The sequence below is a fragment of the Homo sapiens genome, chromosome 19 (genome assembly GCF_000001405.40).
Source record: "Homo sapiens chromosome 19, GRCh38.p14 Primary Assembly".
Classification (NCBI taxonomy): domain Eukaryota; kingdom Metazoa; phylum Chordata; class Mammalia; order Primates; family Hominidae; genus Homo; species Homo sapiens.
Genome location: NC_000019.10, coordinates 21,182,261 through 21,198,583, shown reverse-complemented (window position 1 = coordinate 21,198,583; position 16,323 = coordinate 21,182,261). Strand labels below are relative to the sequence as shown.

The 16,323-nt window shown below is 36.7% G+C and overlaps 1 protein-coding gene and 1 pseudogene across 14 annotated transcripts in view; both read right to left on the bottom strand.

Annotated features, from left to right (window-relative positions):
• ZNF431 (zinc finger protein 431) overlaps nucleotides 2,531–16,323 on the bottom strand; it is a 54,014-nt gene continuing 40,221 nt past the window's right edge. For 4 of the 14 annotated variants that reach the window (XR_007066665.1, XR_007066666.1, XR_007066668.1 and 1 more), the window contains 2 exons: nucleotides 13,987–15,961; nucleotides 6,402–7,430 (listed from right to left, as the gene is read on the bottom strand). Coding sequence is in view for 4 of the 14 variants with exons in the window: in NM_001319124.2 (NP_001306053.1) it covers nucleotides 14,550–15,961 (1,412 nt within the window). In the remaining 10 variants the exon portion in view is untranslated. Of the gene's footprint in view, nucleotides 15,962–16,323 lie in introns of all 14 variants that reach the window. The other 10 variants (XR_007066664.1, XR_001753620.2, XR_007066667.1 and 7 more) reach the window with 3 other exon arrangements.
• VN1R82P (vomeronasal 1 receptor 82 pseudogene) lies at nucleotides 9,492–10,044 on the bottom strand (annotated as a pseudogene).

Genomic DNA, 16,323 nt, shown 5'->3' with positions numbered 1-16,323 from the left:
CATCATAAGGTTGCAGGCAGTCCTAGAAATTATAACCAATGAAACATCAAGGGCACTAGATTTATTGGCAATACAAGCAAAACAAATGAGAAATGCTATATATCATAATAGATTGGCTTTAGATTACCTCTTAGCCTCAGAAGGAGGAGTATGTGGAAAATTTAATTGAACCAACTGTTGCCTAGAAATTGATGATAATGACCAAGCGGTCATGGAAATCATAGCTACAATGCGCAGGCTGGCCCATGTTCCAGTTCAGACTTGGTCTGGATGGTCCCCAGATTCCTTGTTTGGAGGATGGTTCTCAACCTTTGGAGGATTCAAAATCCTCATTGGTGGGTTCTTGCTTATTCTTGGCGTCTGCCTCATCCTCCCTTGCCTTTTACCCCTGTTTATTATGAGTATTCAGTCAACTATAGAGGCAATAGTAACCCGACACACTACCGTGCAGTTGATGGTATTAACAAAATATCAGCCGCTACCAGAAGGAGCAGCTCAGCTCTGTGAGAAGGTGGCAAATAGTGGTGCTTTCTATTAACACCTCTGTTATAAAAATGCACCAAAGTGGGGAACGGAACAGGAATTAAAAGAAATTAGAGTGTATAAGCAGAAACTCAGTTGTATGTAACAAAACCCATTTCCCTCAGAGAAAGAGAAAGAGCTGGAGTCCTTTAAGAATTAACTGCCTGTTTTTCTGTGGCTAGTGAGCCTTATCTCTTCTCCTTTCCCAAGCATTGTGAAGACTCTCTTTCCCTAGCTGTGCAGCTGCAAGGTCACTAGACAGATAAACTCAAGTTGCAAAACATGTTTCTCCTTGAAAAGTAAGAAATGATGTAATGCATGTCTCAATTGAATAACTGTCTTTGTTTCTTGCTTCTGTAGTACGCTTCTCCATGCACAGATCTCCCCTTGCCCCACAAAATGCTTAAAAGGTAACTTAACTCTTTGTTTAGGGCTCAGTCCATCAGATGTTAATCTGACTGGGCCGGTGCACCTAAATAATTAATAAATATCCTCCTGTACCCCATCGGTCTCTCTGATTCCTTAAAAATCCCGCTACATTTTATTCTCCTTTTCAATCACTGTTCCTCTAAGAGCAACTTATATTCTAGCTATTTATACAATAAATGAGTTTTGCCTGTTTTTGAACTTTAAATAAATGGATTAATACAGTAAATTCTCATTTTTGGCTAGCTTATTCTGCTCAACATTGTTTGTGAGATAGATCTCTGTTGCTGCCTGTAGTTGTGCTTTGCTTTGAAAGTTGTGAATATTGCAAGTTGTGCTTTCTATATTCATTGATCTACAATGTTCCATTATATAAATACACTACAATTTCTTTATTCCACTTTTTATGAACATTTTGGTGATTTTCCAGATTGGTCAGTGCTTCTGTAAACAGTCTTGTGCATTTTTAAAAGAAAAATTTTTGTAACTATGTAGATATTTAACCACAAATATAACTAAAGTGTATTTGTATCTTCAGCTTGTATAGGCATTGGGGAGCCCTCTTCCAGGATGTAGTACCAACTTACCTATGCTACCAGCATTATATGAAGAATTATTTATTCTCAAATTGTCTTTATTTTTCAAACCTTACAATGTAAACTCTGTGAAGACCGAGACCTTTAATTTCATTCACCACTATATTTGCAATTTTTAAATAAATTTAATTTGACTTTGAAGCATTTATTTTCTTAAAAATAACTGTGGTAAAATTGGTCAGTTTGTTTTTCTCTGAACATAATTTTCTTTTACACAACTCTGTTTTTTTACACAGAGAATTTTTCTGCCAAAAATTTATTCTTTTTTTGATCATTCTCGGTCAGGGTTATTTCTCCCCAGTAGAGACTGTAACCAAGCAGGTGCAATTTCAGCACAATCTTTTTATTATTGTTTTTGAGACATAGTCTTGCTCTGTCACCCAGGCTAAAGTGCAGTGGTGCAATCTTGGCTCACTGCAGCCTCTGTCCTCTGGGTTCCAGTGATTCTCCTGCCTCAGCCTTCTGGGTAGCTGGGATTACAGGCACACACCACCATGCCTGGCTAATTTATTTATTTATTTATTTATTTTAGTAGAGACTGGGTTTCGCCATGTTGGCCAGGCTGATCTGGAACTCCTGACCTCAGGTGATCCACCTGCCTTGGTCTCCCAAAGTGCTGGGATTACAGGCATTAGCCACCGTGCCAGGCCTCAGCACAGTCTTGAAGAAGATAGGCCTTGGCTGGACAGGTAAGCTCTAAGCAATTGTAAATAACTATCTTGTAAAGATGTATAATTTTTATCTTGTATTTATTTGCCATAAATATTTATTAAGTTGTAATTTTCACAACATTCCATTTTTATTCTGATATCTACAACTATATCTACATAACACCAATTCCAGTATTTTAATAAACAGAAGAAATGTATATATAGCCTTGCAAAAAATATAAGCCTGATACATTCATATCTGTATAAGATTTGTAGAATTTCCTAAAGTTCAAGGAAGTACACACACACACACACACACACACACACACCATTAAATTCAAATCAAATAGATTTATATTTTGTCAAATTGAATGCTATATAAAATTTATAACCAGATAACACAAAATATAAATCGAATCATGAATACACTGATGATAATATCTACCACAACTTACGAATATGATTTCCAGTTAAAAAGAGAAAAATAATTGCTTTGCTGGATTTTCAGTGTGTGCTAATCACTATCACCATTACAAAAGATCAATTTAATTACAGATTATCCAAAGATGTATCACACATCTAAATATTAAACTTTACACTGCAATAAAATATTTAAATCTGCAAGAAGACACTAGAACATATGGTCAATAATACCATGAGCTGCCACAGGTTTTTAATAGATAATGCAAATGACAATCAACTATATGCCACCACAAGAGAAAAACTGGTACTGGTGAATCTCATACGTATCAAGGAAGAAAAAAATGCAGAATTCAATATGCAAAAAAGATTGTTTATACCAGGTATATACATCATAATCATGGTTGTCTGATACATTAAGTGTTCTGTATTAGAGTTTGCAAAATATACATAATTCTATTGCTAATGAGGAATTAGCCAAAGCCCAACTATTCAATCGCCCATAAAGAAAAATTTTTTAGAAAATTGTGTATCTTTTAAAAAAGTTGGAAGTGAAACTGTTGACCACTTCGGAGCTTTAGAAGTTCCTTTTAATGGTAGTTAGATGGCAAGAGCTGGCATTTTGGTTACATCAGCCAATTCAAAACTCACAGAGAGAAGTTACCAGGTATCAAATTTTAAGGCAGATTTTATTCATTAAAAGCATCTTAAGAAGCAGCAGAAATTGCAGAAATGAAGCAATTCAGCATTTCTACTAATAATAATTTGTATTAAGCATGTCGTTAGATTCTGTGTTGGCCATTTGACATCTGCGATTCTTAACTGCTCCATAAACCTGCTGAATCACAGGGCCACAGGAGCAATCACTGTTGTTTACACGCTTTTTGTCAGGCAGCTCTCATGAGCCTGCAAATGTTGTTATTCCCAACCACTGACACCAGCATTCATTATTTTACTTTGTATTCAATAGGAAAAAGCCCCACGTTTTTGCTTCCAATCATCACGTTCATAAAGCAATAGTCCCACCTCCCTGATAACTCTGCTTTCTCACCCTTGCATAAGACCGCCTTTGTGAGGCCCCCAGGGCCTGCCTTGCCTCTTGTTTCTGGTGGGAGTGTATTAAACACCTTTTAATGGCATTCACCTTTCTTTTGTAAATTAAAATCCTAGCAAAATTCGAGAAATCATGTTTCTGTGCTTTGTTACCAGAAATAATATGGGGTTGGGCCAGGCATGGTGGGTCGCACCTGTAATCCCAGCACTTTGGGACGCCGGGAGTTTGAGACCAGCCTGGCCAACACAGCAAAACTCGATCTCTACTAAAAACATAAAAATTAGCCAGGTGTGCTGGTGGGCACCTGTAATCCCAGCTACTTGGGAGGCTGAGGTAGGAGACTCACTTGAACCCAGGAGGTGGAGGTTACAGTGAGCCAAGATCGCACCACTGCACTCCAGCCTAGGCCACAGAGCAACACTGTCTCAAAAAAAAAAAAAAAGTAATCGACATTTTGATAAAAAAACAAAAACTTATTTTGTAGGCTGCTCTAGGCAGCATAGACATTTTCTATTCATTCTTCAAATCCATGAGCATAGAAAGCTTTTTTATTTGAATTGTCTCTGATTACTTTCAGTAATGTTTTCTAGTTCTTGTAGAGATATTTTACCTCCCTGGTTTGATGTATTTCTAAGTATATTATTTTTTGTTTATGGCTATTGTAAAGAAAACTGTTCTTGATTTTGTTCTCAGCTTGAATGTTATTGGTGTAAGGCAATGCTATTCATTTTTGTATATCAATTTTGTATCCTGAGACTTTGCTGAAGTCATTTTTAACCTTAGGAGTCTTTTGGTAAAATCCTTAAAGTTTTCTAGGTAGAGAATTATATCATGAGTGAAGGTAATTTCACTTCTTCTTTTCCTATTTGGATGCCATTTATTTTTTCATTTTGTTAGATTTATCCAGCACTTCCAGAACTATGTTAAATAGAATTGTTTAGATAGTCTTATTTTTTTTCTAATGAGAAATGCATGCCCCTTTTGTCTGTTCAGTATGTTAGCTGAGGATTTGTCATAGATGGCTCTTATTATTGTGAGGTATGTTTCATCATTGCTTAGAGAATATTTTCATAAATGAATACTGGATTTTCTTGAATGCTTTTTCTGCATCTATTGTGTTAATCATATAAATTTTTGCTTTTAATTGTATGGTGAAACACACTTATTGACTTGTATATGATGAAACATCCTTGCACATGTGATATAAAGTTCACAAGTGTGGCAAAATAACTTTTTGATTTGCCTGTGAACTCAGCTTGCTATTATTTCATGGAGGATTTTTGTTTCAATGTTCACCCAAAATATTGGCCTATAGTTTTGTTGTTGTTGTCTTCACTAGACTTCGGTATCAAGATGACACAGGTTTTTATTTTATTAATTAATTTATTTTGAGATGGAGTTTCACTCATTGCCTAGGCTGGAGTGCAATGGCGCGATCTCGGCTCACTGCAACCTCCACCTCCCGGGTTCAAGCGATTTTCCTGCCTCAGCCTCCCGAGTAGCTGGGATTACAGACATATGCCACCACGCCTGGCTAATTTTGTATTTTAGCAGAGATGGGGTTTCACCACGTTGGGCAGGCTGGTCTCAAACTCCCGACCTCAGGTGACCCGCCCACCTCGGCCTTCCAAAGTGCTGGGATTACAGGCGTGAGCCACCTCGTGCAGCGATACAGATTTTATATAATGAGTTAGGGTGGAACTCCACCTGGATTTTTTGGAATACATTCAGTAATACATTCAGTAGAAGTAATACCAGCTCATCTCTGTATATGTGTTAAAATTCGGCTGTGATTTTATATAATCCAGGGCTCCTTATAGTTGGTAGGTTTTTTAAATTATTAATTCAATTTCATTATATATTTTATACATTTTTGCCCTGTTCAAGAGTTCTGTTCCTTCCTGGTTTAATCCTGGAAAGTTGTATGTTTCCAGGAGTTTATTTATTTTCTCCAAATTTTCTATTTTGCAGGCATAGAGATGTTCATAGTAGTCTCTGACTTTTTTTGTATGTATGCAGAATTAGTTGTGATTTCACATCTCTAAAACTTAAATATATGCAGAGTGCAAAGAGAAAAAAATGGATGCACAATAGAAGTTTGACAGAATTTGACATTCCCTTATGATAAATCGCTGAAAAAATTAGGTATAGAACAAATGCACTTCAGCCAATAAATGCCATATATAACCAAAAAAACTGCTAACAACATACTAAACAGGGATATGTTGTAAGCTTTTACTCTAAGAGCTAGAACAAGGCAAGGATGCCCACTCTAGTCAGACTTACTAAACATGGTACTAAATATCCAAGACAAAGAAATTAGAGAAAAAAATCAAAGGCATCCAAATTGAGGAAAAGGAATTATTCCTGTATAATTTTCTTTTATCCCTATACATAATCTGAAGTATAAAAAAGCCTAAGACCTTAGTAAATCTTAAAAATTATAAACAGGCAAGGTGCAGTGACTCCTGCCTGTAATTCCAGCACTTTGGGAGGCCGAGGTGGGCGGATCACAAGGTCAGGAGTTCAAGACCAGTCTGGCCAACGTAGGGAAACCCCATCTCTATAGAAATAAAAAAATTAGCTGGGTGTAGTAGGAGGCGCCTGTAGTTTCAGCTACTTAGGAAGCTGAGGCAGGAGAACCGCTTCAGCCAGGGAGGCAGAGGTTGCAGTGAGCCAAGATCGTGCCACTGCACTCGAGCCTGCGTGACAGACCGAGACTCCATCTCAAAATAAATAAATAAATAAACAAAATTTATTAAACTTTCAAAATACAAAAGCACCATCAAAAAGTCACAGCATTTCTCTACATTAATAACTATCCCAAAATGAAATTCAAAAACAATTACATCTACAATAACTATAGTTTGAAATAAATTTAACCAAAAAGTTGAAACGCCTTACATTCTAAATAGAAATTAATACATAAATGGACTATTCATGAACTGACATTAATATTTGTATTACACAAAATGACCTACAGGTATAATGCAACCTCTATCGAAATACGTGATATACTTCATAGAAAAGTTTTAAAAGTATATCTAAAATTCATATGGTATCACAAAAGACCCTGAATAGCCAAAGCAATCAAGACAAAAGAAGTGACTAACTTTGAAATACACTACATAGCTATGGTAACCAACAGTATGGTACTTGAATAAAAACAGAGACATAGGTCAATGGAGCAGAAGAAAAAAACAGCAGAAATATATCCATGTATTTACAGTTGATTTTAAATACAGGTGACTTTAAAGGGAAAGAACAGAATCTTCAATTAAGAAAACTTTATATCCACATGCAGAGATAAAAATTGAGACCCTCATCTCACACCATATGTAAAAATAAACTCGAAATAAATTAGTACTTAAATGTAAGGCCTGACACTCTGAAACTACTACTGCCAAAATATAGAGCAAAAGCCCTATAACATTGTTCTGGGCAGCAAATTTTTTTTTTTTTTTGAGACAGAGTTTCATTCTGTTGCCAAGGCTGGAGTGCAGTGGCATGACCTTGGCTCACTACAACCTCCGCCTCTGGGTTTAAGCCGTTCCCCTGCCTCAGCCTCCTGAGTAGCTGAGATTATAGACACGTGCAACCACGCCCGGCTAATATTTGTATTTTTAGTAGAGACAGGATTTCACCATGTTGGTCAGGCTGGTCTCGAACTTCTGACCTCGTGATCCACCTGCCTCGGCCTCCCAAAGTGCTGGGATTACAGGTGTGAGCCACTGCGCCTGGCCGCAAGTTTTTTGATTTAACCTAAACATCCCAGGACACAAAAGGAAAAATAAGTCAGATCACTTCAAATTAAAAAGCTGCTGGACAAAATCTGATACAATCAACAGAATGTGACAACTAGAACATGGGAGAAAAAATTTGCAAATTATACATGTGACAAGAGGTTAATATCAAAAGTGTATTTAAAATGACAACAATAAAAAATTATTAAAAATAATAGGCCGGACGCGGTGGCTCATGCCTGTAATCTCAGCACTTTGGGAGGCTGAGGTGGGCACCAGAGGTCAGAAGTTCGAGACCAGCCTGACCAATATAGAAAAACCCCGTCTCTACTAAAAATACAAAATTAGCTGGGCGCAGTGGCATTTGCCTGTAATCCCAGCTACTTGAGAGGCTGAGGCAGGACAATCACTTGATCCGGGAGGCAAGGGTTGCAGTGAGCCGAGATTGTGCCATTGCACTCCAGCCTGGGCAACAAGAACAAAACTCCATCTCAAAAAGAAAAAAAAAAAAAAGGAAATAGCTGAAATAAATATTTTTCAAGAAAAGTCATACATATGTCCAACGGATATATTTTTAAATGCTCAATGTTGACTATTATCACAAAAAGACAAGCCAAAAAAAAAATCCCTATATCAACTCATTCCTGTTAGAATAACTCTTATTAAAAGAAAAAGAAAAAAGTGTTGGTAAAGATGTGAAGAAAACGGAATCCTTGCACACTGTTGGTGTGAACGTAAATGAGGATAGCCATTACGAAAAACAAAATACAGATTTATCAAAAAAACTACCAGGTAATACAGCAATCGCACTACTGGGTATATATCCAAAACAAAATAAGAATAAAGAAACATTTGCACTTCTGTTTGCAGCACTTGTTTCACAATAGCCAAAATACAGAATAAACAGTTCAACATCTAATGAGTAAATAAAGACAATGTGGTTGATATACATAATGGAATACTATTTATTATTTAAATGAGAAAAATGCCTTATTTTCCCTCTTGAGACCGAGTCTCACTCTGTTGCCCAGGATGGAGTGCAGTGGCATGATCTCAGTTCACTGCAACCTCTGCATCTGTGGTTCAAGGGATTCTCATGCCTCAGCCTCTGGAGTAGCTGAGATTACAGGCCTGCACCACCACACCCAGCTGAGGTGTTTTTTGTTTTTGTTTTGTTGTTTTTGTATTTTTAGTAGAGATGGGGTTTTTCCACGTTGTCCAGGCTGGTCTCAAACTCCTGGGCTCAAGCAATCCACTGGCCTTGGCCTCCCAGAGCTGGGATTACAGGTGTGAGCCACCACTCCTGGCCTTAAAAAAAAAACAAAAACTATTATTCTCAATCACATGGATGAAGTTGGAGGACATTGTATTAGTTGGGATAAGCAAGGCACAGAAAGATTAGTGTCTCATAATTTCACTTACACATGGATTCCAAAAAACTTAATCCCATTGATGTAGAGAGTAAAATGGTGACCATCAGATGCAAGTTATTTATAAGAAATGGAAGGCTGGAAACATGTTTGTGAAATAATACATAATTATAGTCAAATGGAAGAAATAAGTTCAAGAGATTTATTGCACAACATGGTGACTATAGTTCATAATAATGTATTTGGATTTTTGAAAAATGATGACAGTGTCATGTGGTCTCAAAACAAAAATGTTCACCATATGAGGTAAAGTTTTTTTTTTTTTTGATAGTCACTCTGTCCCCCAGTCTGGAGTGCAGTGGTGCAATCTCGGCTCCCTGCAACAACCACCTCCCAGATTTGAGCCATTTTCCTGCCTTAGCCTCCAGGGTAGCTGGATTACAGGCATGTGTCACCACACGCTGCTTATTTTGTATTTTTAGTAGAGACAGGGTTTCCCCATGGTCGCCAGGCTGGTCCCGAACTCCTGACCTCATGTGATCTGCCTGCCTCGGCCTCCCAAATTGCTGGGATTACAAGCATGAGCCATCATGTCTGACCAATGTGAGATAAATTATTAATTACCTAGAAATAATAATTTAACTATATATATACTTCAAAATATTACGTTCTACAGAAAAAGTACAGATTCTACCTGTCACATTAAAATATTTATAAAACATAGAAGAATAACAATGTGTCAAATACTGTGTCTTTGTGATAATCTTGGTTAAATAGTATCAAAAATATATAGTTTTGGGGCTATTATTGTCATTTAATTTTTTAATCATAACCATAGAAACTTCTGATATTTAACAGCATGGTTTGGACCCAGCACATTGCATGGGAGGAGCCAACGTACTTTAGGATTTTTACTTTAAGCTTGGGGCACCTGGAGTTTCTGGTGCTGATGGTAACGGTATGAAAGACACTCAAAGAGCAGGTGTTGCTTATGGTCCCATGACTGGCCACTCTGTGAACACAGTAAACTAGTTTGCATGCAAAGTAACAGAAATGTTTTAATCCAAACGCTGTCATGATCTCCAAATGTTTTTCAGAGAAAATGACCCAAGAGTTGGCTACAGTTTGGTGACTAAAAATAAAAACTGTAGACTAAACCTCTCCCACTAAAAAATATATAAAAAATGAGTGAAAAATTTCTCCAAATTGTAAAATCAATATAGAAAAGACATTATTTTTCAAAATTTTAAATCCACTGAAGTCATTTCATTATTTTGTAACCTTTAACACTCACACTTAAAAATAAAAGATTCTGCATGGAAATATAAGTTGTGCTGTAAGTATATCATAGAAAATTAACTTTAAAATTGTTTACTTACCATTAACTCTCTTAAAAATTTAATTTCTGTATTTTCAAGCAAGTTTTATATTTGCCACACTTTGTATAAGAATCTAGTAAGATTTTTCTTTTAAAAACAAAGCTGACTAATTTAATTATCTTACCTGTGGACAGTATTGCACCTTTTATCTTTTTTTTTTTTTTTTAGACAGAATTTCGCTCTTGTTGCCCAGGCTGAAGTGCAGTGGCCCAGTCTCGGCTCACCGCAACCTCTACCTCCCAGGTTCAAGCGATTCTGCTCCCTCGGCCTTCCGAGTAGCTGGGATTACAGGCGTGCGTCACCACGCGTGGCTAAATTTGTATTTTTAGTAGACACAGGGTTTCACCATGTTGGTCAGGCTGGTCTCAAACTCCTGACCTCAAGTGATCCACCCTCCTTGGCCTATCTCAGTGCTGGGATTACAGGCGTGAGCCACACCTGGCTGCCTTTTAACTGTTCTGATAAGCAAACTCTACAGTTAAAACCAATTTTTGTGTGCACTAAAAATACCAACTTCCTCATCAAAATCTACAAAGTACCATGTGAAATGAAATGGCATGAAGACAACAGTAAGAAAACTGTAGCTATAACTCAGAAAAAGAATAGCTGTGATGCATACATAGTTGGAAAATGCATAAGACAAATCTGAAGAGAAGTAGAAAATAAAAGAATTTCTCTTTTTTTTCAGATGGAGTTTCCCTCTTGTCGCCCAGACTGGAGTGCAATGGTGCAATCTCGCCACACTGCAACCTCCACCTGTCGTGTTCAAGCGATTCTCCTGCCTCAGTCTCCCGAGTAGCTGGGATTACAGGCATGCGCCACCACACCGGGCTAATTTTGTATTTTTTAGTAGAGATGGAGTTTCTCCATGTTGGTCACCTGGTCTCAAACTCCCGACCTCAAGTGATTCGCCCACCTTGGCCTCCCAAAGTGCTGGGATTACAGGCGTGAGCCACCACGCCCAGCTCTTTTTTTTTTTTTTTTTTTTTTATATGGAGTCTCGCTCTGTCGCCCAGGCTGTAGTGCAACGGCACAATCTTGGCTTACTCCAATCTTCACCTCCGGGTTCAAGCAATTCTCCTGACTCAGCCTCCCGAGTGGGATTACAGGCACCCACCACCATGCCTGGCTATTTTTGTAGTTTTAGTAGAGACTGGGTTTCACCATATTCATCAGGCTGGTCTCAAACTCCTGACCTCAGGTGATTCATCTGCCTCTGCCAGAATTTCTCTTTAAATTCAACAAGATTCAGTTTTACAGTCTGGAAAAAAAATGTCCTCTCTATATGAACAATCAATCTTCACCATTGATATTTTTCATCTTTGACTTGAAGTTACAAACTAACTTCAGCAGGAATATTTATGAATTATTATGGATAATCTATTACACAGTGAAAACTGTAATATATGTTTGCTACATTTATATATAAAAACATCCTCATGACTAATGAAGCCTCCCTAGTACTTAGCTGAACAAATTGACTCAATAAATATGCTTATGTCAATTATAAAAAGTGAAAGGAACAAATCACTAAAGAAAACCTATATATTGTTCTCCTCTTAAAAGAACAAAATGGAGTGCTCTAACTAAATAAAATGTAACTTAATACACTACTTTTGGAATTACATCTAAAGATTATTTTGTGTGCACTAAATTTCATAAAAATTCTTATAATCGCAGACCAGCTCACATAATGAATACTTCATAAAATATAAAACAAAAAAAATGTAAGAAACAAAAAAAGTATGGGTCTAGCATGAGTACCAGGCAAGTATATACAGAGAATTTGCTTGGGAAGATTCAGAACTCTAAGTCATAGACTGTACAGTAATAAATTCAATACAAACCAAAAAGTATACATTTGCTTTCAGCATTTTTTAGGTTTTTAGTTTTATAGTAGTCACCATATTAAAATGATTTTTGTTCCCGTATCATTCTTTCCTTCTGAAAATATGTACAAACTCATACTCACACACACATACTTAACTCCATAATTTTCTTACACCTAAGATTTGTCTTTAGACTAACATGTATTTAACTCTATATGAATCAAAACTAAAAGTCTGTATATGTTTGCAGGCAGACAGGCCACATGTTCAAAGAAAAATATATAGAAAATTTGAAAATATATTTTACTTTTTGAGATGGAGTCTCGCTCTGTTGCCCAGGCTGGAGTGCAGTGGGGTGATCTTGGCTCATTGCAACCTCCACCTCCCAGGTTCAAGCGATTCTCCTGCCTCAGCCTCCTGAGTAGCTGGGATTACAGGCACATGCCACCACGCCTGGCTAATTTTTGTATTTTTAGTAGAGACGGGATTTCTCCATATTGGCCATGCTGGTCTCGAACTGCTGACCTCAAGATCCACTCCCTCGCTCAGCCTGTCAAAGTGCTGGGATTACAGACGTGAGCCACCACACCTGGCATGAGAAAATATTTATTAAGAATTTAGAAATGAATTTCATTTATACTCGTATATAATTTTTATTATGACGATAAAAATAACACTGTGGTAAATAAAAATTTAATTGTACATTTAAAAATTTTTTTTTAAAGTGTAGAATTGGATTGTTTGTAAAACAAAGGAGAAATGCTACAGATGATGGATGCCTTACTTAACCCTGCTACTATTATATATTGTATTCTCCTATTAAAATATGCTACAGGCTGGGCGTGGTGGCTCAAGCCTGTAATCCCAGCACTTTGGGAGGCTGAGGCGGGCGGATCACATGAGGTCAGGAGTTCAAGACCAGCTTGGCCAATATGGTGAAACCCCATCTCTACTAGAAATACACAAATTAGCTGGGCATGGTGGCTGGCACCTGTTATCCCAGCTACTTGGGATGCTGAGGCAGAAGAGTTGCTTGAAACCAGAAGGCAGAGGTTGTAGTGAGCTGAGATCATGCCAATGCACTCCAGCCTGGGCGAAAGAGTGAAACTCAGTCTCAAAAAACAAACGAACAAACAAACAAAAGAATCTCTCTCTTTGATGTAGCAACAATTAACCCCATGCTTTCACATGTGAATCCAATAGGAATGAAGAAACAACAGGAAATAATTTCAGAGTTGAATGATGACATTATTCAATTTTCAAAAAATCTGTAATATTTTTCAAGAAATAAAGTATACTTTGAATGTAATTATAACTCTGCAAAAAACCTTCTGATCCTCTTAAAGTTCTATACAAATAACTTTTCTACCAACTTTAGTTTCAGATTTTCTATACTTAGCACTCTGATTTAGTATATCTGAAGTGTCAGTACCTTATATATTTCTACCATAAATTCTCTGATATTTGCATAGACTTAATTATGGATTAAATATTTTACTTTTACTGCATCTGGAAAAAATATATTCTAGTATAACTGTTGATTTCTAAGCTGTAGTTTTTGAAAAATTGTTTTTCCAAATTTATTATATTTGCACAATTTTTCAATATAAATTCCCTGATGTTGAACAAAGTTTGATCAACTGCTTCAGAGTTTTCCTCTAGAAGAAAATGTCTACAAAAAGATCTGTGATACAAGTAAAGGCACTACAACCCTTTTTATATTTGTGATGTTCAACTTCAAAATAAATACTCTTCACTAAAAAAGCTTATATTTTCTGAAAGATCTTTTGACAGTAATTGCACTTATAATGCTTTTATTAAGCAGGAACTCTCTGTGTTGAGTAAAATGTGAGCAGATAATGATGGCTTTTTCACAGTCTTTATATTTGTATAATTTATCTCAAGTATAAATGCTTTCCTAGCAATAAAGTGTGAGCATTAAGTTTTGCCATATTGTTCACACATGTAGGCGTTTTCTCCAGTATGAATTATCTTACCTACAATGAAGTGTGACAACCATTTAAAGGCTTTATCTCACTCTTCAGATTTCTAGGATTTCTCACCAGTATAATTACTTTTATGGTTAGAAAAGTTTGAGGCGTTGTCAAAAGTAGTCACATCTTTCTGATTTGTAGAGTTTCTCTCCAGTATAAATTATCTTATGTCTGTTAAGAATTGAGGGCTTCTTAAAGGCTTTGCCATGTTTTTCACACTTGTGGGGTTTTTGTACAGTATAAATTTTTTTTGAGACGGAGTCTCACTCTGTTGCCAAACTGGAGTGCAGTGGTACAATCTTGGCTCACTGCAACTTCCACCTCCCAGGTTCAAGTGATTATCCTGCCTAAGCCTCCCGAGTAGATGGGAATACAGGCACGTGCCACCACACCCAGATAATTTTTGTATTTTTAGTAGAGACAGGGTTTCACCATGTTGGCCAGGATGGTCTCGATCTCTTGACCTTGTGATCCACCCACCTCAGCCTCCCAAAATGCTGGGAGCCATTTTGCATAAGCCACCGCACCCGGCCAATATTTAATGCTTAGTAAGAGTTGAGGACTGCTTAAAGGCTTTCCCACATTCTTGACATTTGTAGAGTTTCTCTCCAGTATGAATTATTTTGTTTAATAAGGTTTGAGGACTGGTTAAATGTATTGTCACATTCTTCACAGTTGTAGGGTTTCTGTCTAGTATGAATTTTCCTATGTTTAGTAAGAGTTGAGGATTGGTTAAAGGCTTTACCACATTCTTCACATTTGTAAGATTTCTCTCCTGTATGAATTATCTTATGTTTAGTAAGATTTGAGGATCGGTTAAAAGCTTTGCCACATTCTTCACATTTGTAGGGTTTCTCTCCAGTGTGAATTCTCTTATGTGTAGTAAGGATTGATGACTGGCTAAAAGCTTTGCCACATTCTTCACATTTGTAAGGTTTCTCTCCAGTATGAATTATCTTATGTGCAGTAAGTTGTGGGGACCGGTTAAAAGCTTTGCCACATTCTTCACATTTGTAGGGTTTCTCTCCAGTATGAATCATCTTATGTGTAGTAAGGTTTGAGGACTCATTAAAGGCTTTGCCACACACTTCACATTTGTAGGGTTTCTCTCCAGTATGAATTCTTTTATGTTTAGTAAGGGTTGAGGACCAATTAAAGCCTTTGCCACATTCTTCACATTTGTAAGATTTTTCTCCAGTATGAATTATCTTATGTTTAGTAAGGTATGAGAATCGATTAAAAGCTTTGTCACATTCCTCACATTTGTAGGGTTTCTCTCCAGCATGAATGAACTTATGTGTACTAAGGGTTGAAGACTGGTTAAAAGCTTTGCCACATTCTTCACATTTGTAGGGCTTCTCTCCAGTATGAATTATCTTATGTGTAGTAAGGTGTGAGGACCGGTTGAAGGCTTTGCCACATTCTTCACATCTATATGGTTTCTCCCCAGTATGAATTATCTTATGTGTAGTAAGGGTTGAGGACTGCTTAAAAGCTTTGCCACATTCTTCACATTTGAAGGGTTTCTCTCCAGTATGAATTCTCTTGTGTCTAGTAAGGGTTGAGAACCATTTAAAAGCTTTGCCACATTCTTCACATTGGTAAGAATTCTCTCTAATATGAATTCTTTTATGTTGACTTAGGTGTAAAAGCATGCAAAATGATTTGCCACATTTTTTACATTTGAAAGGTTTCTTTCCAGTATGTCTTGTCTTATGTCTATTTGCATTTAAAAATTTATGAAAGACTTTCACATATTTATCACATGGAAATATTTTGCTCTGGGTAGTTGTCAAACACTGGTTTAGCTCATTATAACCTTCTTTGTGCACCTTATACTCATCTACACTTGCGGAGCCTTTTCTTAACTGTAAATTCTCATGTTCACATTTGCCATATCTTCTCAGTATTACTTGTTGAAAAGAATCTTTTATGTCTTGCTCTGGCCAAAGGTCTTTGGTAAAATAAGAACACATAGCTGAAAGAAATACAAACAACAAATTATTCAACTTACTAGACTCTGATAAACATACTTTACAAATCTAACCTACATTATACAAACTACATAAACAAGATGCCATAATAAAATACCATAGGCCCTAAATCCTTCATAGACATATAAATCTAATAAAAATATACTGACCAAAATATATTTGAGGACAACTTATAAACAAGTGTGTAAAGTTCCCCAGGTGAGCACACAGGTGAGTACACAGGAATGCAAAGACACAGAAGAAAAAGAAAAGTCTGTTACATTTACCCAACACAGTTCTTCCTACTCAACAATACAACATAGTGCCTTTCAAAGTAAATTGCTAACTTTTCGTTTCTTTTTTAATA